Source organism: Homo sapiens, chromosome 4 (assembly GCF_000001405.40).
Source record: "Homo sapiens chromosome 4, GRCh38.p14 Primary Assembly".
In the NCBI taxonomy this organism is placed as follows: Eukaryota; Metazoa; Chordata; class Mammalia; order Primates; family Hominidae; genus Homo; species Homo sapiens.
Genome location: NC_000004.12, coordinates 42,582,666 through 42,607,200, shown reverse-complemented (window position 1 = coordinate 42,607,200; position 24,535 = coordinate 42,582,666). Strand labels below are relative to the sequence as shown.

At 36.0% G+C, this 24,535-nt stretch overlaps 1 protein-coding gene across 12 annotated transcripts in view; it reads left to right on the top strand.

The window, feature by feature from the left end:
• Window positions 1-24,535, top strand: part of ATP8A1 (ATPase phospholipid transporting 8A1) — a 248,733-nt gene that overhangs the window by 49,905 nt on the left and 174,293 nt on the right. For 6 of the 12 annotated variants that reach the window (NM_001105529.1, NM_001400025.1, NM_001400024.1 and 3 more), the window contains exons 6-9: window positions 6,683-6,723; window positions 12,839-12,912; window positions 18,872-18,941; window positions 20,725-20,852. In NM_001105529.1, coding sequence (NP_001098999.1) covers window positions 6,683-6,723; window positions 12,839-12,912; window positions 18,872-18,941; window positions 20,725-20,852 — 313 coding nt within the window. Of the gene's footprint in view, window positions 1-6,682; window positions 6,724-12,838; window positions 12,913-16,316; window positions 16,391-18,871; window positions 18,942-20,724; window positions 20,853-24,535 lie in introns of all 12 variants that reach the window. The other 6 variants (NM_001400026.1, XM_047449508.1, NM_006095.2 and 3 more) reach the window with 2 other exon arrangements.

Here is a 24,535-nt window from a genome sequence, read left to right as displayed (position 1 = left end):
AAATGGGGGATGGGGTAGAAGTACGTCCTCATTTCTAGGGAGCCTACCAGCACTGCAGATGCAGCAGGCCCATGCAGCAAGTGTTGAACAGCAAGGTTCTGTAATATTTTCAAAGAAGCGTTACTCTATTTAGTTAGGATTCCAACCCAGTGTAGGGATGTAAAGGTAATTTATACTTTCATTAATCCAGACCACTACAGCCTTCAGAATAAATATCAAATACTCATCAGACTGACAAAATTCAAGGAATGGATAAGTTTGTGCTTGTCTCAGTTTATAGTCAGTGGAAATTTATACATTGCTGGTAAAAGTATGGAGTGCTGTAGATTCTTAGGTATCTGGTTGTATCTGATAAAATTACAAACTCAAATGCCCCGGAGTCAGCAATGTTCTCTGGGGCATTCTCTCTTACAGGGTACAATCATGTGAATATATTTCATTGCTGTGGTAGTAGAAAAAAATAGAAGTCAGAATTTGCACCAGGGGGAGAATAGTTGAATGCTTTATGATGCAGCTGTTGTGGAAAATTGAGTTGTCTCACACAGGGCAAGGACAGCTCTGTGCCTATCTCTAGGACACCTGGAAGTGTGATGCTGAACACTGCCTAAGACAAGGATGAGACGGACTAGCTGGTGATTTATAATGTGCTGTTTAAGGTTTGAAACTCCCTTGTAGCCACCCAAGACTAGCTTCTCTACTCAGTTTAAGCATATATAGAGATTGATGGCTTAACTAGTTTTACTGGCTACACAGTTTGCCTTGGCTAGTCAACTAGAGGGTAGAAAAGACGCCACTGGAAACTTTTGCCTGGGCTTTCCTGAAATTCAGATTTCACATACATACCATGGAGCTTCAACACCCGTGTTGAGGGTGAAAGAGAAGGGATCCTGGGGAGCCATGCCTGTCAGTCTCTCAGGCCTCTGATGCTTTTCTGGTCTTTCATTTTCCTGCTGTACCATATCCTTTGCCTTGAGTAAAGTCTTCTGTGAATACATCCTGTGAAGTCTTGTGTGTCCACCTAATTATCCAACCCGTTGTAATTGACACATCTGTGCCATGGAGTATTTTCCAAAAATGAGTTAAATATCTCTGCTATTCATTAAAGTATTTATGGCATGTTGAGTGGAAAACCAAGTGGCAGAGAAATTTTAAAAGGGAAAGAAAAAACAAGAATGTCCATGTTTGTCTAGAGAAAGGTGTGCGAGGATTCATCAGTTAGTACTCCTTACTGTGAGAAACTGGCCTTGAGAAGAGGAATGTCAGCTTTTACCTTGTATACATACCTGTCTTGCTGGAAACATGTATTGATTTTGTCATTTGGTAGAAAACATTGAATATGTATTTAAAAGTTTCTTAGATGTGTACATTTGGGCAGTATGCCACATTTTTCTAAGTATTTCTCCAATAATGAATTGAGAGAGAACATTTGGGTGGAGAGGAGAATGCACTGTTTGGCTGGAGACAAAGATTCGCAAAAGGTCGGTTGGAGAAAGGAGGTAAATAAGTTTGAATGTGGAGAGAAAACTGATCAGAGCAAGGTTGAGGGAAAATGAGCACGTACAGAAGATGGAGGCGTCAAGCAGATTTGAAGGAGGACGGCAGAAGTGCAGCAGATTTGGAGGCGGTTTTCCATGTAAGTGCCACTGGCTTCCACTATCCGTTATTGAGTGAAGACTCTCTGGCATAATCTGTTGGATCTGAGAAGCCTGTTGTGACACTTCCCATGTGTTAAATGGCACCCAACAAAGTGGATCAGGGCTATTTTTTACATGTGAACTAACAAACATCTGTAAAGTCACAGCATGTTGAGGAGGGCTAGATTAAATTACAGAGCTGGAAGGAGTGGCCCTGAGCTGATACCAGAGAACAGTTTGTGTTAGTGCCTCTGAGGGTTACATAACCATTTCTAACTGCTTGCACTGAAAATTGGTTTAGTCACTTATAAAACTGAGATGTCTATTTTAAGCAAATGTTAAAATAGTTCATTGGCATCTTTTTCTGTAGCTATTTTTTAATTCAGTTATAGTTCACATACCATATAACTCACCATGTTGAAGGATACAGTTCAGGGGTGTTTAGTGCATTCACAAGGTTATGCACCGATCACCACAACCTTAATTCTAGAACATTTTCATTAATCCAAAAAGAAACCCTATACATGTAAACAGTCAGTCTTTCTTTCTTCCTTGAATCCCTTGCAATCACTAACCTACCTTTTGTCTCCATGGATTTGTCTGTTCTTGGCATCTTATGTACATGGGATCATACAATACGTGGCCCTTTGTGTCTGGGTTCTTTCACTTAGCATATCTCCAAGATTCATTCATGTCATTGTATCCACACTTAAATTATTTTTATGGCAGAATAACATTCCATTTAATGGCTATACCACATTTTGTTATCCATTCATCAGTTGATAGACATGTGGGTTGTTTCTACCCTTTGGCTATTATGAATAATGTTTCAGTGAACATTCATATACAAGTTTTGTGTGAACATATGTTTTCCGTTTGCTTGGGTATACACCTAGTAGTAGAATTTCTGGGTCTGTGGTAACTGTGCTTAACTTTTTGAGAAACTGCCAAAGTATTTTCCTATACAACTATTTATTAAATGTCATGTTTATGTTATTTTTAACATGAGCCCTACTAGGTAGTGGAGTTGTATCTTCAGTAAATCTATAACTGTTGCAATGGTTTTATATGATCCTATGACAGATAAGAATATTAGTGGATCCAGCATTCCACCCAGTTAGTACTTACTGAGCACCAGTGTGTGCTGTGTGATAACACTGGAATGGTAACAGTGAGTATAATAGGGAAGGTTTCTCTTGTCATGGATCTTATAATCTGGGGGAAGAGACAGCCCTTAAATAATCCTGTTTAATTAAGTATACAGTAAAACTGTGATGCTGTGATAAGTGTTCTAAAGGAAAAGTGCACGGAGCTCATTTAGATTTGGGGGTGAGGAGGAAGGACTGGGTGTCAACACAATGTCCCCTGAGAAAGTGCTGTTAAAGCTGAGATCTACAAGGTGTGTGTACAAGTTAACTAGGTGAGGATGGAGGGAAAGAGAATTCTAGGCATGGAAACATGTGCAAAGGATTTGAGACAGCAGAGAGCATGGTGCGCTCACTACAGAGGGCATAAGGAGGGTGTGTTGGGAGTGACAAGAAGTGATGACAGGAAAGAGGCAAGAGCTGCTTCATAAAAGGCCTTGTAGATGTTTTGATTTATTTTTTGAGCCTAGGGAAGCCAACTGAAGAGTTCTGAGCAAGGGGTGACCCAAGTTTGTGTGTATGGACTGATACATAATAATATGTAATTATAACATTTATGTAAAATCATCATAGATAATCCTTATAGCTACACTGTAGAAACTGAATTTGAAAGAGATTAAGAATGAATGCAGGAAACTAGCCTGAGGCTAATACAGACATCCAGTTGGGAGGGGGTGGTTCCTTGAACTAGGGGTGCTGATATTGGTGATGGTGGAGAAGATTTTTAAAATATTGGCAGATTTTGAGATGCTAAAGGCATAAAATCAACAGGAAGTTTTTAGTAGTAAAAATTATTCCAGAGTTTCAAAGGCATTTTTCTGTAAGAGTTTTAAAATGGGATAAACAGGGAGGCATATGAGCATAATAAAACTGCCAAAAAATCATAATGCAGCATTGTTCACAAAGAGAAATTAAGTTGCATCAAAAGCATTGCTACAGAAACAACAAAATAAAAGTTAAAAAAACCATACCCAAACTAATAAGTGAAGTAACAAAATTACAGGATGACAAGGTCATTCATTGTACAAAAATTTAATGCATTTCTAAATATTGCCAATGACTGGAATATAGAATAAAAAATAACCCTCGTGAGGTTAAGAAAAAACATAAAATATCAAGAATTAAATCTAGTGAAAGACCCATTCACAGAAAACTACAAAACATATCCAAGAAAAATTAAGATGTAAATAAGTACAGAAAGATAGCTTGTCCGTGAATTGGAAGACTTGAGACCCAAATCAAATTCCAGGAAGATAGTGTGTTCTCTGGAGCTTATTCATCCTGTCTAATCTGAAGTCTTAATCTTCATGTCAAATATCTTGATTTTAGAAATATTGGACACTTATAGTTTTTTTTTAAAAAAAACTAAGTATTACTATTGGGATAATTACTAATATGAGATAGGATCCGAAGGAAATAAGTGGCAATACAGAGCTCTAGACACTATTGACCAGTTTTTCCTAAATTAATGCAAACTTATAGCCCACTCACTCTGTCAGTTGATCTTGGGTGTAGTTGATTTGAACAGGACTTTACCATCTCTCTTTGTTACCATCTCTCTTATTATATTGTAGCCACTGGGTTACATAATTAAAGGGGAGCTCTCATTTATTTATTTATTTATTTATTTTAATTTTATTTTATTTTATTTTTGAGACGGAGTCTTGCTCTGTCACCCAGGCTAGAGTGCAGTGGCGTCATCTTGGCTCACTGCAACCTCCCCCTCGCGGGGTCAAGCCATTCTCCTGTCTCAGCCTCCCAAGTAGCTGGGACTACGGGTGTGCGCCACCATGCCTGGCTAATTTTTTTGGTGTTTTTTTAGTAGAGACAGGGTTTCACCATGTTGGCCAGGCTGGTCTCGAACGCCTGACCTCAGGTGATCCGCTCACCTCGGCCTCCCAAAGTGCTGGGATTACAAGCGTGAGCTACTGCTCCCAGCCCTCATTTATTCTTTATGCTTTGTTACAACTTATTTTGAGGAACATACTGTTGGACTCTGGCAGAGACAGCACCTCTTGCTTTTCTACCGGAGGCTGTTTTGACTCCGGGTCAGAAACACCAAACCCCTACTGCTCCATGAGCAACATCGAGCAGGGGATTTACTCCTGGGATCAGTTTGGGTGAGCTCTGCAGGCATTAGAGTCTTGTGTTTCAGGATCCAGTGATCAATTTAAGGTGCCTGTGCTTTAGATCCTTGGTCCGTAACTGTTTAAGCACTGTAAAAATTGGTACTTTAACTTCTGCGGTTAAGATATTGTGCTGGAAATACTTTATTTGAGCTCTCTCTAGCTTGGAATGATTATTTTTTTAAATTAATGAAGTTGATTCACCAAAATGCACTGTGAGGTATTCATTAATTTGTTTTATAAGCATCTGAATGTCCCATATACCAAAAGTGCTGCAAGTACAAGTAATAAAAAAAAAATGGCTAAGACATAATGTATGTGTTCAGGGAATTTAGAAACACAGATAATATTTTAATTTAAATAATTTATATTGTGAAACACTGAGTTCAAAACATTTTTGTTTTTAATTAATATTAAATTTGCTGTTTAACATTTTGGGGATTATTATTGTGATCGCTTTAGAGGGTTCAGGCTTCATCTATCCCAACATCAAAAGAAACTGAATCTGTTTTTGTACCTATAAATTATGCATTTTGCAAATACTTACTGAGTAGCTACTGTGTGCCAGGTACTGTGCTGTTTCCAGGGAATATAATATTAAAACAAATATTAAATGCTTTTCCCTCATGGAATTTACATCTGGATAATTTGTTGATGGGCCTTGACATATTTCTCTCCCTAAGTACTAAGTGCTGTGCCGGCTACCTCACATACTCTCTTATCCTGTTTTATTTTTATTTTTATTTTTATTTTTATTTTTTGGTGTTTATTAGCATACTCAGTGTTATAGCACAGACAACATCACAGGAAAAAAAAATTATACTGGATAACCCTACTGATGTGAAGCAGTAGCGAAACCCTAAGAAATACCTACCCCCCATCATAATTTAATAGTAGCCTCTTCTTCTGCCTTTTTTTTTTCTTTTCAGAAAACCAAATATAGAAAATTTGGATTTTTAGGGCCAGGCGCGGTGGCTCACGCCTGTAATCCAAGCACTTTGGGAGGCTGAGGCAGGCAGATCACTTGAGGTCAGGAGTTCGATACCAGCCTGGCCAACATGATGAAATGCTGTCTCTACTAAAAATACAAAAATTAGCCACACATGGTGGTGCATGCCTGTAGTCCCAGCTACCTGGAAGACCGAGGCAGGAGAATGGCTTGAACCTGGGAGGCGGAGGTTGCAGTGAGCCAAGATTGTGCCATTGCACTCCAGCCTAGGTGACAGAGTGAGACTCCATCTCAAAAAAAAAAAAAAAAAAAAGAAAATTTGGGTTGTTTTTGCTTTTTGTCGCTGTTTGTTTTTTTGCATTAATATAAACCTAAAGGTACAAATTCTTTCTCTGTTGGCTTTATGTGTTAAATTTTTACTAAACTATTAGAAATCTATTATTCTGTGCTTGTGATTTTTCTTTTTAAACATTGCTACTCTTGTAGCATCTGAAATGTTTTTAAGCTTGTCGCTTCCTTTTTCACATCATTTTTGTGGCTTTCTCCTCCAGCTGAGCCCCATAGTTCCTCTATGTGCTAAAGAAAGCCCTTGGTAACACCAATCAGATGCTCTCTGTTAGTGATGTTGTGGGAGCTAAAATATACATTGGTTGTTTCTAATTTTTGTGTAAGTTTACATATTCTTGCTATCATAATTAGAATTTTAACCTATAAAAATTGCTACTAGTTATTTTGACTGAAGCTATTCGTTTAAAATTATTATTTCATCAGAAATGGCCTTTTCATAGTAAAACATGTTGTTTAAAATGTCACCTTTTCTCTTTCCAGTTTTGAGAAATGGTGCTTGGGAAATTGTCCACTGGGAAAAGGTATGCACTGATTTTTATTTTGTTCCAGGAGAAGAAATACATAGCGGTGTACTCTAGTATATATAATTTTTTGTATAATATGAGCAAATGTGAAGAATTTTACTAATATAAAAGCTATTTAGTAATATAAACATGCATGGCATCTTCAGTCACATTCATTTAATATTTCTGCTGTATTATAGAAAGACTTATTTTGAAAAATATCTAGAACTTTTTGTTTTTTTCATAGTATATTTTGAGTACTGTTATCATAGATTTTATTTAACCATGAACTGTTTTGTGTTGTAATTTTTTGCTTTACTCATCTACTGTCCAAGTAAAAATAAGAATTTTGAGTTCTGATGTTTTACTTCTGCATATTTTACTTCCAATTCATATAGTGAGACTAATTACATTTGCTTACCACTAATTCCTTTAAAACAAAAATCTTACAAATTAAACATTGTCTTCTAATGAAATCAGTTCTTTAACATCAAAGATTAATTTGTTTATAGGACCTCTAACATGGCAGTTAGTAGGTTAAGTCATAATTTAACAAATGTTATTCAGGTGTTTATTCTTTTCAGCCTTCACTTTCAAAAGGTAAGCAATTATTATTAGTTCTCCCTTAGTTCTGGAAGAAGGTTTAAAATCTAGTCATCCACAAATGAATAGCTTTGGTAACTTGGTAAAAGACTTTTTGGAGTCTGAGCCACCCTTCTTAGGGCACTTTATTTCCTGGGATTGCCAGGACATTAGAGGTGTATCTCACAGGACAGTATTTTGCTAGGACAATCGAAGTGTAACCAACAGTTTATTTGCACTCCAGTACTTCCCAGCTAGTTGAAGTCCATGCCCTTGATTCTACCTTGTCATGGTCATCTTGTATTTCTGCAGGGGATATCTTGTACCCCCCAATTAAAAATTAATTAAATTTCTGTTGATTTTCAATCAGTGGCTAGAATAGAGACTGACATCTCCTCTTTCATATAGTTGAAAATTTACCCCTATTTTTTCTTTGGTTTTTGACATGAGAGCAACAAATGGGAAAATACCTTGGTTGTGTTTTATTTATTTCTGTGATAGGAATCTCTTTTTCAGAAGAACAAAATAAAAATGCTAAAAGCAATTTCAAAATAAGTTTCTTTTCTACTCTTTTCTGGCACCTATGGAATTAAACATTTTAGAAAGAAGACAGGTAGGATATAATCAAGTATGATAAGATGAATTTTATTACAAATATTATTTTACCTAGGGTTGTCAGTGTAGTTAACATAAATATGCATGCTAATAAATAACCTAGGCTGCTTGCTCAGAAAATAAACAGAAAGTCAGGAGATAATAATGTACTACTTCACTCTAAACCTTTAAAATGTCTTATTTTCCTAATAAACAATCATTATTTCAAGATTGTGCTAACCTACCTGGATTATTGTAATTCTTACTTTTCCTATTTTTGACAGACAAATCACCAGCCAGGATTACCCATAATAATAGCATTTTCAGTCATCTCACAGGTCAATGGCACACCTAACCTAGGCATCCCATTTTGAGATAAAGAAGGACAGAATTTAAAGTGTTGCCAAAAGTCATCCAGCCCAAAAGAGCTGAAGTTATTTAATAATTAGAATTATAGAAGTAATTAGAATCACTAAAAGTTGGTTCAGTGATGAAATCATGATAAATATTCAAAAATTAACATCATTCTTAAGTTGGCAGTATCAAGTTTGAAAATAAAGTGAAGAAGAGGTCTCATTCCCAGTGGCCTATGGGAGGCCTACAAGTAAATTTAATGTATGTGTATGACCTTTGTAAAGAAAGCATCCAAACTTTGATATTCAAGATTCATACAAATTTACAAGTATGTCATATTCCCAGAAAAATTAAAAGTGAAATATCACTTGTTCCAAATTATGAAGTAATATAATCCCAGGGAAATTATTATATTTTCCTCAAGAATTGACTAAATTTTTCATCTGATTTGCAAAAATAAACAGTTAAGAAAGTAGAATATATTTTGGAAAAATGAACAGTGTGTAAAGATTACAGGTGAAATGGAAAGCAAAAGTTATTAAAACACTGTGGTTTGCAAAAATAGACATTGATGAGTAGAATAACATGGAGCAGATTTAAGTAGTATAGAATAAAATATAGTGCCCTGAAATAAGGCCTGTTTAATATTTGAAAAAGGAGGCAAAAATTATTTTTTAAAGAATTGCTATCACAGATTAGCAGTTTTAAGAAATAGCATTTGAATATTTATATCTAAGTCACAACCTATGCTAAAATAAATGTCAACTGACTAAAAGAGTTAAATGTTAAAATGTTGTTTTTAGAAAACGTACAAATAGAATAAAGGCCTTAATAAATATTTGAAGAAGAGCAATATCTCAAAATCTATGGAATTAGATTATATAAATTTTAAAACAAATACACAACAAAAACTGCCACAAATAAGTAGGCAGGCTATGTGAAATATTTGCACCAAATAGGACAAATGATTAAGATCATTGTTATATAAATAGGAAAACTTGACAGTAAACCAGAAATATGATAATTGACCAGACTCAGTATAATATTCAACCTAATAAAATTTGCAAATTTAAACCATATTGAAGTTTCATTTGCTACCTATTCAATAAATAAAAACAAACATTTCAGATTTATTTTTATGAAATATTTTATTTACATACTATTGTGAACGAGCAGTTTGGCTATTTATATTGAGAACTGTGAAAACGGGATTCTGGAAATTTATCCCAAGAAAAGAAAAAGTTGGAGAATATCTCCACGTGTATAAAAATGTTTATTGTAGCATTATTTACTTATAATAGCAAAAAACTAGAACATATGGAAATGCAACAATAGGGACAGTTTTATAAATTATGGCATTTTATACTCATATTTTGTGACAAGTAAAATCTGTAATGTCACATGGTGTAGCAACACAGAAGAAATTATACTATTCATTCGACAAGTGTTTATTGAGTGCATATGCCAAGCAGTGAGCTTAAAGCAGCAAGCAAGACAAGTAAGGGTTCCTGTATCATAAGATATAATCATAGGTGAAAAAAAATAGTACTATGTACACTGAAATACTGGCTTTGTAAATCGTTTATTGAACAAGCGAACAGGCACAAAAGCAGCCTTACTTGTTGGGATAACAAGATTTTGAGGCAAGTCTTTTCTTTGCCTTATATGATATTTAGTCCAATTAAAAATAAAATCAATAAACCAAAACCAAGAGTGTCGTCTACATGCCAAGGTAATATGATAGACCTTAGTGTAAATGGGCTTTACTTCAGGGCTCTTTCTCTGCCTTTCTAAATGTGTGGCTACTGTGGTTGCTCTTTAATGATCCTCAAAGGACCTACAAATTTGCCTAGCATGCATCTAATCATTCACAGCTGGGCAGACTTCAGCTCTCAGATATTAGTGGTTTATCTCTCCAGTTACTGCCCTGAAACCTTTTCCCTGTTGCAAAAGGTTAACTTGCAGATACATAGTTTTAAAAGAAAGTATGGTAATCACAAAGCCCTACACAAGGAACTACATTGTGACTCCTGAACGGTAAGCTGCTGGCTTCATTGCTCTTGCCACAGATTATTTCTTTACAATGAGGTGCAGCTAACACTGTTCACAGGTTTTTGAGATGTATGCAGGTGGAGAATTTAGCCAAAGAATCTTGGAATCAACGTATTCTTCTGGCTTATTAAGGAAGCATGGTGGGCTGTATGCATGTGTAAAAGTTACTCTGTAAAGCCACTTTTGTGCATGAAGCTTCCACCACAATATGTATTTCTTTTTTCTTTTCTTTTTTTTTTTTTTTTTTGAGATGGAGTCTCGCTCTGTTGCCCAGGTTGGAATGCAGTGGCGCAATCTCGGCTCACTGCAACCTCCACCTCCTGGGTTCAAACGTTTCTCCTGCCTCAGCCTCCTGAGTAGCTGGGATTACAGGTGCCTGCCACCATGCCCAGCTAATTTTTGTATTGGTAGAGACAGGGTTTCGCCATATTGGCCAGGCTGGTCTTGAATTCCTGACCTCAGGTGATCCGCCCGCCTCAGTCTCCCAAAGTACGGGGATTACAGGTGTGAGCCACCATGCCCAGCTAATAGTTGGATTTTTAAATCAGGCTATTGCAGTCTGATAATCTTACTATTTTACATAATCCTTGATGTTGCAAATATGAGTGACTTCAGAAGGCTGTAGGTAGTGGACTGAAAGCCCTAAACATTTCCTTAACTTTGGCATTTTGGGGACTAAAATTGCTTTATCATGACATTCCTCCAATTAGAATATGTATGATTAAAGCATTTTTGTCATCTTGACTTTTTCTTCTCTTGGTTCCTCTTATGCACACACTAGGCTGGAAGGGGAATGCCGTATTAGGAGCTCAGAATCCAAAAGGAAAGACAGGTGTTTGGATGTCTTTTGAGAAATTGATCTTAAACATAGACATTCTAAGGAGTTAAGTTCCCTACTTTCCTTACAGTAAAGAACTTTAGCAGTCATTGATTTAGCATGCTTTAGTAAGAACTTCAGCATTTAGTAAGCCCCTGGTTTTCCCAGGCCACTGGGGTACCATATAAATTGTTACTATTTTATTGAGTTTAGGAACCACAAGCCCTTCTTTTGTCTTACAATGAGTAAAGATGTTGGAAAGCAGCACAATCAATTAGGGATTTGTTTAAGTCTGACTGTTAGACTCTAACACGATAGTGTAGAGGACGTGATTCTGATTTTGTGAAGCACACAGTTGAATTTAAGAGGAAACATTAACATACAGGAGTTGATTAAAGAAAATTAAATGGTAACCTGGATGCATTCTAAGTGCCATGATTTCAGAGAATTTACATTTTATTATCTTTCTCAGTGAGTGTAATCACAGTACCATCACAGCACATTATTTTAAGGACCAGTTTACATTTATACTTGCAGTTTTTAATTTTTCCTCTTTGCCCTTTTTTGAGGTAGGGGGTGTTTGATTCCAAGATCCCTGGTAATTTGCCAGTTTCAGCTAGTCCAACTTTCAGATTTCAGCTGAATTATTTTTTGAATCAAGGGACCCAGAACTTAAGCATACGTGTCATAAATAAAAAGACAATACCCCTGCCCCAACCTTTTCTAACCTCTTCTTTTGGTAAATAATAGACTGCAGTGGGCTGCCTCTGCAGTAATTTCTTATTATGATTCCCACAAAAGACACTATTCTGTTCTTACCCTCATAGTGTTATTTTAGAGTTCAAGGAAAAGTAGGGAGGGGGAAGAACAAACAGGCTTTAATTTAGAAAGTCTTTTTTTTCCATCTATTAAGTATTGAAATTCATGTTTAGTCTCATTTGTCTACTAAGAGGTCAACTTTCATGATGTAAAGGGAGCGGCTAACAGTGTAACTTGGTCAACTCAGTTAAGCCAAGTTGTTGCTTAGTTACTGTGTTGTTTGCCAAAAGCTATGTGACACATCTGTCACTTAAATGACTGCTATCAGTTTTTGAAAATAGTATCTCTTTATCTTTATGCCAGGCTCAGAAAAATGCTAAGAGGTAGTACAATGAAGAGATTAATTTTTAATTTAAAATACATTGATAGTTTCACAAAATTATGCAAAATCAGGATTTGCAGACAGTCAAATGTGGATTTGAGTCTAAGCTCTTCAACTCCCCATGATCTTGAGCAAAAATCTCAGAATCTCAAACTCATTTTCTTTCTCTCCAAATGATGAGTTATAAGCAATACTTGTTTCACAAGCGTTATTGTGAGGAGCAATTATATATGATAGCGTCTCCAGTTGCATTGAGATTTTCTTCAATAGGATAAAGATTTATATTGGTAAATCCCTCCTTTATATTTTTATGTCAGAGAGGATATGAGAAGTTAAGGTGTCAATTAAGTGGATAGAATAGATTGATTTTATCAAGATAAGTTATATATCCAATATACAATGTTCATTTTTTTTAAAGGATTCCTCCAACCCTGGTCTCACTCCTAGATAATTTTCTTCCATTTTGTGAAGATAAGTGGTTCTTGTTTGCCGATAACCATTTTTACTGTGTATTCTATGCTTTTTACAATGGGTTGTATATTTGTAACTATCTTTCAATGCAGATAATTAACCAATTCCCAGTTTTCTTTCAGGTAAATGTTGGAGATATAGTTATAATAAAAGGCAAAGAGTATATACCTGCTGACACTGTACTTCTCTCATCAAGGTAGAGATGCCTACTGATGCTCAAACAGTGTAGAGGATGGTTTCTCTACCCTGCATTGACCTTGTGATTTCTCCAAGGAAATAAGGAATAAACGAAGAATTTAAAACCTCTCTAATAATTTTTATTTAAACATTTAAAAAATTGATTGGACTTAAAGGGCTTTTTCATGTTTGCCATATAGAATAAGTGATAGGTACTATACTTTATCATTCAAATATAATTAAGAGTCTACTCTCCCTCTGGATCTATCCAGATCTTTTGTGGGGATCATAACTCTTTTAAGATTTCCTGTCATTTATTTTATATAATACATGGATTGGGTTCTATTGATATTTTTTATCTTTCAGTCCTTGTTCGTCATAAATCCCTACAGAGTTTCTTGATTATTATGATGGAATGGTATAAAAAAATGGATGAATGATTCTTTTTGCCATTATGCCTTTTGAAATGCCATACTCTTCCAACACAAAAGTACTTTGCTCTTTCTTTTAAGTTCTTTCAGTTACTTAATTTAAATAATTTTCATTTTACTCATATTTTAATCATGAATTAGTAGTCAGAACATATGGCACTGTTACTCTTTAAAGAATGTGACTTTCAAATGGTTTTAGGTTTAAAAACTATAAACTAGTCCTATTTTAAATTAAGAAAAATTGTTTTTAATATTTTAGAGGTTGTTTATCATCATTTCCTTGGACAGGTTTATTTGTAAATCCACATATGAATATGGACAGTGTCCTTTTTTCAAAATTTATTTAATCAGGTCATCATTTAAAGTGATTTGATTCATGACAAGTTAGCGAAACTTAACAAATAAAAGTATTTATACTAGATATTTATAGAAGTAAGTCTACAACCAATTAAAGTAACTGCAGGTAGTTATATTTCTATAATTTTGTGCCATGTACCTATAGGTTTTTGTTTTCAGAAAAAATAATATAGATGTTTTCAAATCACCCCCTCTGTTCTTAGTTTCCTTTGCTTATAACTTTATCAGGATAAATCTCTAAAACTGAGTGAAGCTAACCGTCCATTCTTGGCGTCTTCAGAATTAGCTTGAGGGAGAGCTTATTGTCATTGTCTCAGGTTCTAGGTAGTATCAGGCACTAGAAAGAGCTCTCTTTAGGGAGTGAAAAGCCAGGATTCTTATTCTGATTTGGTGATTTTGAACCAACTGCTTAATCTCTCATGCCTTGATTTCACATCTTTTATATTAAGATGGATTAAATGATCAAATTCCAATATTCCCCAATTCTTTTTGTTTAAATTGATAAGCTTTAAGAGTACCTTACAGAATGGTGTCCATTCAGTTTTACTAAGTAAAAATGTGATGAATGTATTGGACACTTGGCCATCTGAATGTTTGAAGTCTTGTGCTGCATAACAACATTTTGGTCAATTACGAAACACATATACAACGGTGGTCCCATAAGATTATAATGGAGCAGAAAAATTCCTATTGCACAAATACTTAGTATTGTGTTACTGTTTCTTTACACTATTCCATACAGTAACATGCTGTACAGGTTTGTAGCCTAGGAGCAATCTGCTATACCATATGGCCTATAGACTATACCATCTAGGTTTGTATAGGTACCCTCTATGATGCTCACACAGTGACAAAAATGCCTGACAATGCATTCCTCAGAAGCTACACCTGTCATTGTCACGTGACTGTATATAAGTTCAAAATGATAGTAACACCTTCTAACAATTTGGGAAAGTATTGTTTTCCCAATTAAACTCTTAGAGACATAATTATAGAATGAATCATATAGGCTGAACCGTTAAATACAATTTTTATTTTTGATGCTCAAAAATGTGAAGATAATCGACTATACTGCCCTGAATTTGTATTTAATTTTAAGTTGGAAATTTTCAAAATCTTTGCCGTCTGACTCTATCCAACTTCAGAAACTCCCCAGCAAGCTACTTGTATTTCTTAAACTTTAGACCACTTTTACAGAATTTGTTTTATAAGCATTAAAAACACTTACTGGTGGCTATGAATTTCAATTTATCGAAATAGTTTCTGTGTCTTAATATGGTCTCCACAGCGATTAACTTCCTCCAAGATTATATTTTTAAAAGATTATCTGATTCATTGCTTTTTGTTATTGAGTAGAATTCAAAATAAAAGCTGTGCTGCTAGACATTTCAATCCAAGTAGCAGAGTACCACCTTTCAGTATTTTTTTTCCTCAAAGGGTTTTAGCATTACTTAGCTCCTTTGAATCTACATTAACCTCATGAAATAGGTAGTAGTTGTTTAATCATTTAACTGAAAGAGAAATTTTGACTTTAGGTAATGACTAAGTCAGGGTTGGAATACTCCTAATTTACTATCTTCACACTGTCCACTATCAAAAGAAGTACATGATGATTTTTACCCGCAAGTGAGCAACCACTTAGCAGTAAGAGTAAACAACTGTTTATAATATTTTAATTTTCAATTTTTTTAATTTTTAATTACTAAGAGTACATCTTCTGTGAGGTAGTTTGAAATTAAAGCATGAACATGGTTGAAAGTTACTGTGTTTCGTAGGCTTTCATTTTGAAATGAAACAGATTTTAGCATTTAATAAATAATGAATACATTTATGTGTTAAGAAAGTATAAAGTAGGGTAAAATAACTCAAGCTGTTAATTCAAGTCCATATTCTCCGCATGTCTATTTCATACCCTCTCTGAAAAAATTTCTCTGGATTCAAAGGCTTACCCTTCCAAAACAATGCATTCTCTAGACTTCATTAATTGCTAAGTAACTCAAAAGGCTACAGTTATGCCTTCTGACTTCCTAAGGCATAACTGCAAAGCTTCCTAAGGCATAATGCAAAGCTGACTTCTTTGCAGCTTTGCATTAAAGTTAGTAAGATATTTATTCAATTAACTTTAAAAATATTTTGGAGTCAGAACATTTTTAATAGTTTTTTTTTAAGTGGGGCAGGGACTAGTATACTTTTTTTTTCAAGACCCTATCACAACCCTAAAAAATAATTTTCATTATTATTTTCTTCCTTTTTTGGTACAAGTGGACATACAGTAGATGGCATGAGGTTGAGAAATTTGAGAAAGAAAAATCTAGACTATAATGTAGTTCTCTATAAAATATGCTTTAATTTGATAAGCTTATGAGTAAACTTTTAAAAATTAAGTTTTCACACTAAAACTTTAAATTGGGCTAAAAAGCAAATAAATAACCCTCAAATATTAAATGTTTTCTTATGCCTTCAGACCTGATCAAAATAAGTTTTGAAAAAAATTGGCATTAGATGTTTTTATTAACATGTATTATTTTCTATAATAATTTCGAACTTTCTGTCTCTTTTGTCCATTTGTTTGTTTTTTTTCCTCTGTTCATTTTTTTTTTTGGCCATTTTAATTATTTTATACTGGGACGTGTAGGTGGCAGTAGGGGAGATAGTGAAAGTGACCAATGGGGAACATCTCCCAGCAGATCTCATCAGTCTGTCCTCAAGGTTAGAACCACTGAGTCGTATAGGATGCGTGTATGTGGGTCCTCACCGTAAACCGGAGAACAGTTGCACCCAAATATGGTTGAGTTCTGTGTCTCTTCCTTTAAAACACAAACTTTTTATACTGCTTGGTGATGGACATTTCACAGATGTTTTAAAGGGATTTTTGAATACTATGTTGACTGATGCTTGTCCTTCAGCTGGGCAAATTGAACTCCTGTTGTTATCAATAGGAGTCTAAGAGGCATGACAGTAAAGGTAGATTTTAATTTCCTGTGCACCATTAATATATATTCGTATTTAATAACATGCCTAAGTACTAAGGCTTAATTTATTATCTCTCCGGGATATTATTTTGAATAATGTTAAGCTTTTCATGAAACAGTCATTGAAAATTGATTAGATTATAAACATGTCTTATTCTTGTATTTTAAATTTTTCTGTAAGTTCTGTAAAATCCTTCCAGCGATTGTGACTATAATTTGGGCTCATAGGGTTTATAGAGGACCCCCTGCACAAAGCTGGATGTTGCACATTTTGTACCGCATGCTTTGGGATCGACTTTTATCCCACTTGTATCTAGTGACAAAGTGCACGTTACTGTGATCAATTTCAGCTGTCTACTAGTGACTGTATTGTGATATGCATCTTGTTTCATTTTTCACTTACTAATCAAAAAGCCTGCTTTGCCTCTCTTGACTAGTTTGTGTTTTAGATGTCATCATAATTTGCTGAAATATTTATGATCTAGCATGATTCCTTATCTGAGACTTCTTGCTGCCTTTTCACAGCACTATTAAGAATTGCTTCAGTAACTGCTGTCCTAAGTGATTGTTGAGAATGTTCTGAATTTCGATGCTTATTTTATTACCCCAACTTCAAATAGAACTTAGCCATTTGAACTTCCTAACTTCCTAGCCATTTAAAGACCTAGATAAGTTACTTTATGCAAAAAAAAAAAGTAGAATTAGAATATTATTCTAATTGTCAGAATATGGAATCAACATTGTCATTTAGTATTTTCTTTGTCATCGTGCTTCTATATTATCAGGTGTGTTTTATAAATTCATAAACTATGTTTCAAATGTATACATAAGTAAATTACAAATTTCGAGCAATTTCCAGAGCCAAATTGCTATTGTGACAGTGATTTTAAAAATAAAATTTTGAATAAGTTATAGAGTGAAAATATAAATATTGAAGGACTTAATTTTGGGGAAAAGTAGCAGCTTTTACGAAAGAAAGCTCATAGGGTAAATTGAAGAACCTGCAGAGCTACTTTAAAATGAATCAGTAAAATATTTTTGATTAATGTCTATGTGTTTAAGCAATTTTCACAAATCTTCGGGCCACAAAATTAAGCTACATGCCCATTTCTGAAACTAGGAATAGTCTGTTTTGCACATGTACAAGTTGGAAGTTGATTAGAAAATTCCAGGTGTTTGTAATTTGTAAATTTTTTTCTTTCTAGCTTTGAGTACACATGCTTATAAGAGATTACATTTATAATACTTATGTGATATTAGTAAATTAAGCCTATTATATAACCAAGCATTAATTAGATTAGAATGCTTTTCTTTAGAATTAAGGATCAGATTATACAGTTGGGCTACAAACTTAGATGTCTGTAGTTGCTGGGCAAGTCAAATCAGCATGTGAAAGGGAAAGATAAGACAGTCTGGGCTGTGGTGGTGTGATAAAACTGGAGAACATGGACCCCTTAGGCCAGCCGCCACACACCAGATTTTACTAAGACACACTGGTGGGGAACCCATGAAGTGCATCTTCTAGGTCAAGGAGCAATATGGCCTAGCTGACTGATTTTAGTTTTAGTTTTTACCGCTGTGAGAATCTCTCAAGCAACTTTAATAGGAGAGCAGGAGTGGAAAACATAGAGGGAGAAAGCTATATATCCGCTTTCATTGTAAAATTTGTTCATATTACTTTTTTTAAATAACCTTAAATTTAAATATTATGGTTTATGTGATCCTATTCATCATAGCTAAAAGGGTAGTAAATGCAGGTTTGTAGAACTAGCAATCTGGAATTTTCTCATCAACCACTTTCTTAACCAATTTACATGCGTGCCATGAGCATGAAATCTCATGTGGTGTTTTTGAGCTAAAGATAAATCCGGACACAAAACTGCTTTACATTTCAGATACAGTCTGTGTTGTGTCTATGTGGATGAACAATTTAAATATAATGTGCAAATCTATTCATTTGCATTATCTTGAAGACCATTACTGATTGTTGTCAGGAAATTGCTTTTGGGTCCTTCTGGCTGAAAAGCTAATCCGTGAGTTGTCATGCATGGGTTCTGCCTCACAGCATCTTGCTGTTAGAATGAAAATCATCAAGAAGCTAAGTAACTATTACTTTGTCTAGAACGAAAGGCTTTAGTGAGTCTGAGCATTTAAATAAGTTATTATTATGCTTTTCTTCCCGCACTAAATCTTTGTGCTTCTCAACTCCAAACTACAGTGAGCCCCAAGCCATGTGCTACATTGAAACATCCAACTTAGATGGTGAAACAAACTTGAAAATTAGACAGGTAAGATCTGATACAAGTATATGTATAATCACTGCTATTTTATTACATGGAATTAAGAGCTTCTTTCTTTGTGTTATTGTCTTGAACTAATCTGTCCTATTGCAAATATGTTCCCATGGAACCACAACAAAGAGGTTTTATAAACTGGTATTGTTAAGTATTATGGAAGATTCTGATGTATTTGTCTGGTTAAATATGATCTATCTTATAGATATATTTGTAATATTTTTAATTATGTAATAGCTAACACTCAGATAATAGTAGTTCTAAGTGCTTTGATATGTTTTAACTTCTTCCTATTCACCTGGTTCAAATTATAATTTGACTTTGCCATGTTAAAAAGCTGTACAAGGGCCGGGCGCGGTGGCTCACGCCTGTAATCCCAGCACTTTGAGAGGCTGAGGCAGGTGAATCACAAGGTCAGGAGATCGAGACCATCCTGGCTAACACGGTGAAACCCTGTCTCTACTAAAAAAGTACAAAAAATTAGCCGGGCATGGTGGCGGGCGCCTGTAGTACCAGCTACTCGGGAGGCTGAGGCAGGAGAAGGGCGTGAACCCGGGAGGCGGAGCTTGCAGTGAGCCAAGAATGCGCCACTGCACTCCAGCCTGGGCGACAGAGCGAGACTCTGTCTCAAAAAAAAAAAAAGCTGTACAAGGATGGGCACAGTGGCTCACACATGTAATCACACTTTGGGAGGCCGAGGCAGGTGGATCACGAGGTCAGGAGTTCAAGACCAGCCTGACCAACATGGTGAAACCCTGTCTCTACTAAAAATACAACAAGTAGTCGGACATGGTGGCATGTGCCTGTAATCCCAGCTACTCAGGAGGCCAAGGCAGGAGAATCGCTTGAACCCGAGAGGCGGAGGTTGTAGTGAGCCGAGATCATGCCACTGCACTCCAGCCTGGGTGACAGAGTGACACTCCGTCTCAAAAAAAAAAAAAAAGAAAAGAAAAGAAGCTGTACAACAAGCTCCCACAACACAAGTTTACTACATAAGCTCCATTGTACACCCCTGAACCTAAAATTAAAGTTTTTTAAAAAGCCGTACTTTCTATTGCCATTCAAAAACTCTCACTCATCTTACTCATCTTGGGGAATAGTTTACATTTCTATATTTACTTTTCATATCGTGTCAAGCAAAAATAACTGTAAAGTTTTTAAAGTTTTAAGAGGGACTTTAAAAATGTATGCCTTTGGTTTCTAGATGAATGATGAAAATGACATTTGGGAGGGTTGGGATGTGTTGGAACTAGATCATCACAGAGGGCCTGGACCCAGACTGCCACTGTGTGAGGGGCCCTGCTCAGTGACAGCTGCTTCTGGTTGGCCAGAGGGAAAACCTGTTTTGGAGTTTCCCTTCTCTGGAATAAAAAAAGAGAAACAAAGCTATGTTCTTTGAACACAGATTCCATCCATTTTCATCTTGTTTAGATTCTGAAGACAGACTCAGACTGTATAGTGCTAAATATTACTTTTATTTTCACAAGCAAATGGTTCTTTGGGGACTGACTTCAAATTATCTTTGTAGACTAGCTTATAGTCTCCTAAATATATTTAAGAACTCTCATAAAGGTGCCCTATTCTTGCGCTAAAAACCTGTGCTCAAGTCAGGGAGGAAGGTGTCTCTTAATTATGATTTGACAGAGTAGAGGAGAATTGCTTATAAAAATAATGGGATCTTTTAGATCTTAAGACTTGGATGAATTCAAAATTCCTCCTCTTTGCCCAGATACAACTTATTTAATATACTTTTTGCTTATTTAAAAATTCCAAACAGGGCTTACCAGCAACATCAGATATCAAAGACGTTGACAGTTTGATGAGGATTTCTGGCAGAATTGAGTGTGAAAGTCCAAACAGACATCTCTACGATTTTGTTGGAAACATAAGGCTTGATGGACATGGGTATGTAAAATCCGTCTTTATAAAAACACAGAATCCACTGTGTCATAGAGTATTGCTGTGTCTTCTAAGTCTGGATACATATTATCTTCTTGTGTGCTAAGTTTGAGTCCTCAAAACCCTTTTTAAAGCATTTTTATTCTGCCCTGAGTCCTTCTGTGAAGATGTTGAATCTTATCCATTCATGTAGTATAGCTGATGACTTCCCAGAGTTCCTGCCAATCTGGCTGGAGGATATTTTCAGAGATATTCCCAGCTTCTGGCACATTGTTTCGTGGGTAAACAATGGGAGTAAGAATTACCTGTGGCTTATTCTATTCTTTGGCCAAATACTCGTGTTATAGGCTTAACTATTCAATCTGCATGGCCTGGGTCCTTTCCTGTGATCTTGAGATGCTTCAAGGAGTTCAGACTCTACCTTCAAGGGGTCTATTGTACTGGATAATTTATTGTCTCCTCCATGAAATTTCAAATGTTCTTTCTAGCCTGTGGTATTAATTATAGTCATCTCATCTCTTTTTGTTACCTGCTTCCTGCCTCTCTTGTTTCTTCTCTTCTACCCCTTCCCTCATTCATTCAACCAGTACATATTAAGCACCCAGTAAGCCAAGCCAGTTAAGGTGTTAAGGAGGCAACAGTGAACAAAGCAGATAAATATTCCTGGCCTTAAGCCTTGGTCTGTTCAGGCTGTTGTAACAAAATATCTTAGACTGGGTAATTTATGAATTACAGTAATTTATTGCTCACAGTTCTGGAAACTGGGGAGTCCGAAATCAAGGCACTAGAAGATTCAGTGTCTGCTGGGGCCTGTTTCTCATAGATGTCATCTAGTATGTGTCTTCACATGGCGGAGGCTCTCGGACCTCTTTTGTAAGGGCATGAATTCCATTCCCAAAGTCCCCACCTTCTGATACACCGCTTTGGGAATTCAGTTTCAACATGTGAATTTTGGGGAGACACAAACTTTCAGACCATAGCACCTTGTGAGCTTACTTTCTTGCAGTAAGGTAATGGCAAACATACAAACAATAAGATGATAAATAAGAAGTTTATACTATGTTAGAAAGTGATAAATGCTTTGGGAAAACAAATAGCACAGAATAAGGAAGATTGGGTGTCTTTGGAAGGGAACAACTTTTTGTTAGGGTGGTCACAGTTAGCCTCATTGAAAAGGTAACATTTGAGCAATGATGAGTGGGAGGTGAGGACATTTGCCTTTTGAATATCTGGAGGGAGATAATTCCAGATGGAAGGAGTAGTCAGTGTAAATTATTAGTTCTGTCATTACATGATCTTCAAGTGGAAAAGTGCCTGGAATAATTGTGGAATGTTAGGGCAGTGTGGTTGGAGTGCTATGATCAATGAAGAGAGTAATAGAAGAAGGGCCTAGAGAAAATAGAGGGCCAGATCCTATGGGCTTTGTAGGCCATTGTGAGGATGTTACTCTGAGTGAAATGGGAATTCACTGGAGGATTTTGAGGAAGAAAGGTCAGCAGTTCAGTTTTGGACTTTATAAGTTTGGTCCAAACAGAGATGTCCAGGAGGCTGTTGAATATATATCTGAAGTTTGGGACAGAAGTCTGGGTTCATGAGATATGTTTGGAAGTAAGTGGCATAGATATTTAAAGCCATGAGGATGGAAGAAATAACTGAGAATGAAAGGGTATAGACAGAAAACTGAAGAGACCCAAGAGCTATCCTGAGACCCTCCAACGTTATGTTGGGAAAGGCAAAGGCACTAGTGAAAGAGATGGAGACCAAGTTTATAGGATGGTAACCAAGAGAGAGTGAAGAAACTGTACCAAAGCAGGGGGACCAAAACTGAGTCTGACATTGCTGATGGTCAAGTACAATGAGACTGACCACTAACATATTTACGTTTGGCAAGTGGAGATCATTGAAATTGATTAGAACAGGTGCCTGACGATAGTGAGTTTGAGAAAATGGAAGAAGAGTTGAAAATAGCAAGTATAGACTTCTTTTTCAAAGAGTTTTGTTGCAAAGAGAGCAAAGAAATGAGGCAGAAACTGGCAGAAAAGGTGAAGTCTTTCCTGCTTCCCTTCTCCCCTCTTTTCTCCTCCTCCATTCCCTTCTTTCCCTGCTTCCCCTACTTTATGGTATACCTTATCTCCCAGGCATTGTAGTGGCCAACTAAATGTTGGCTAAATATACTAGTTGAACTCAGCAGCCTGAGAGAATGTTTTTGGTGTTTTCATTATTTTGTAATTGCATTATTAGAGTGTTTGAATTCTAAAGGACATTTGAAGTATACCCTGAACTGTCATCCTCATTCAGATCCTCCAAAAGCTTTCCTGTAATCCGTGAAGTAATTATATGTTGTTCTAAAATTTTCACAGAGTGATCGTTCCATGAACATCTGGTTAAAGACTAATGATAGATTTGGCCATTTATACCAGTATTGTTTCTATAGTCTGACATTCCTAACTGGCCAGCTTCCATGTCTTAACAGTTTTCTGTCAAATTGTTGCTGAGCAAATCTATGCTGTGAAGGAGAAACTTTGTATGATGGTGCCAAGATTCAAGGTACAAAGAGAATTTATATAATATGCTGTATTTCATGTGAAAGATAGATTTTCAAGACCTTTGTATCTGTGGCACTTTTGGGGTTTACAGTGATTACCCAAAGCTCTTGGAGACCCTTTGGAATGAGTATACTTTGTTGCTTTTAAGGATGAGGGTCATAGTCTAATGCCAGAAGCCTTGGAACACCAGCTATGATGAAAACTAACTAATTCTTCTTGAGTCCTTGTAATTGAAAAGTGGTATGTTTTGCTTTTGAAGAGTTTGTGTCTAATTCCGGTCAATCCACACCACCACTGCTGAGGTGACAGTTGCCATATTATACCCCATTGGCTGGGTAAGGAACAGTTGTCACACGTGTGTCCCAGAGCATAGTGCAGCTTCCCAAGAAGTTATTGGAAACCCACTTTAGGCCCAAGGCCCCTTTCAACTCTGAAATGCACCCTTAATCTTGAGATATATACCAGAGGGGTTTCCTTCCAGACAGGTCCTAAAGGCATGCTATTGTACATAAAGAATGAGAGTTGCAATTGCTTTGTTCTTTCTCTAAATTGGAATACAGTATTTCCTAAGGATTCATTCAAGTGCAATTGTTACCTACGCATCGGGATTGATTTTACCTGTGTCAGAATTTGTGTAGTTCCTGAATGTCCAAGGCCCAAGCTGCTACTAGCCTTCCAAGCCTACTGGGCCAGAGCAGCTCACCAGAAATGAAGACCTCAGCCTCGCTTTGCCTCCACTTACAAAGAAGTTCTGTGTTGTCTGTCGACTTTTCTTGTGGAATTGTTTCCTTCTTTTTCCAGAATTTTTAAATATATTTTTCTTTATATTTGACCTTTTTTCTCTTATTAAAATGAAGACTTGGTAGTAGTAATCCATGACCCATTAAAATTTATGTATTACATTTTCCTCAAGAACTCTAGTATTGTGGTGGCTTTGTTCCTTCTTATGTCCCTGTGTGAGTTGTATCACCCAGTAACCTACCATAGTGGGTAGCCTTGTGAAAAATCCACAAAAATACCAACTGGGACCTTATTCATGAAAAATGTGTCTTAAATGATAAGGAATGAACAGCTCCAAAATGCTTACTATTCATTGGAAATTTATTCACAATTCTTGGGAAACCAATCTTCAAATACTATAAA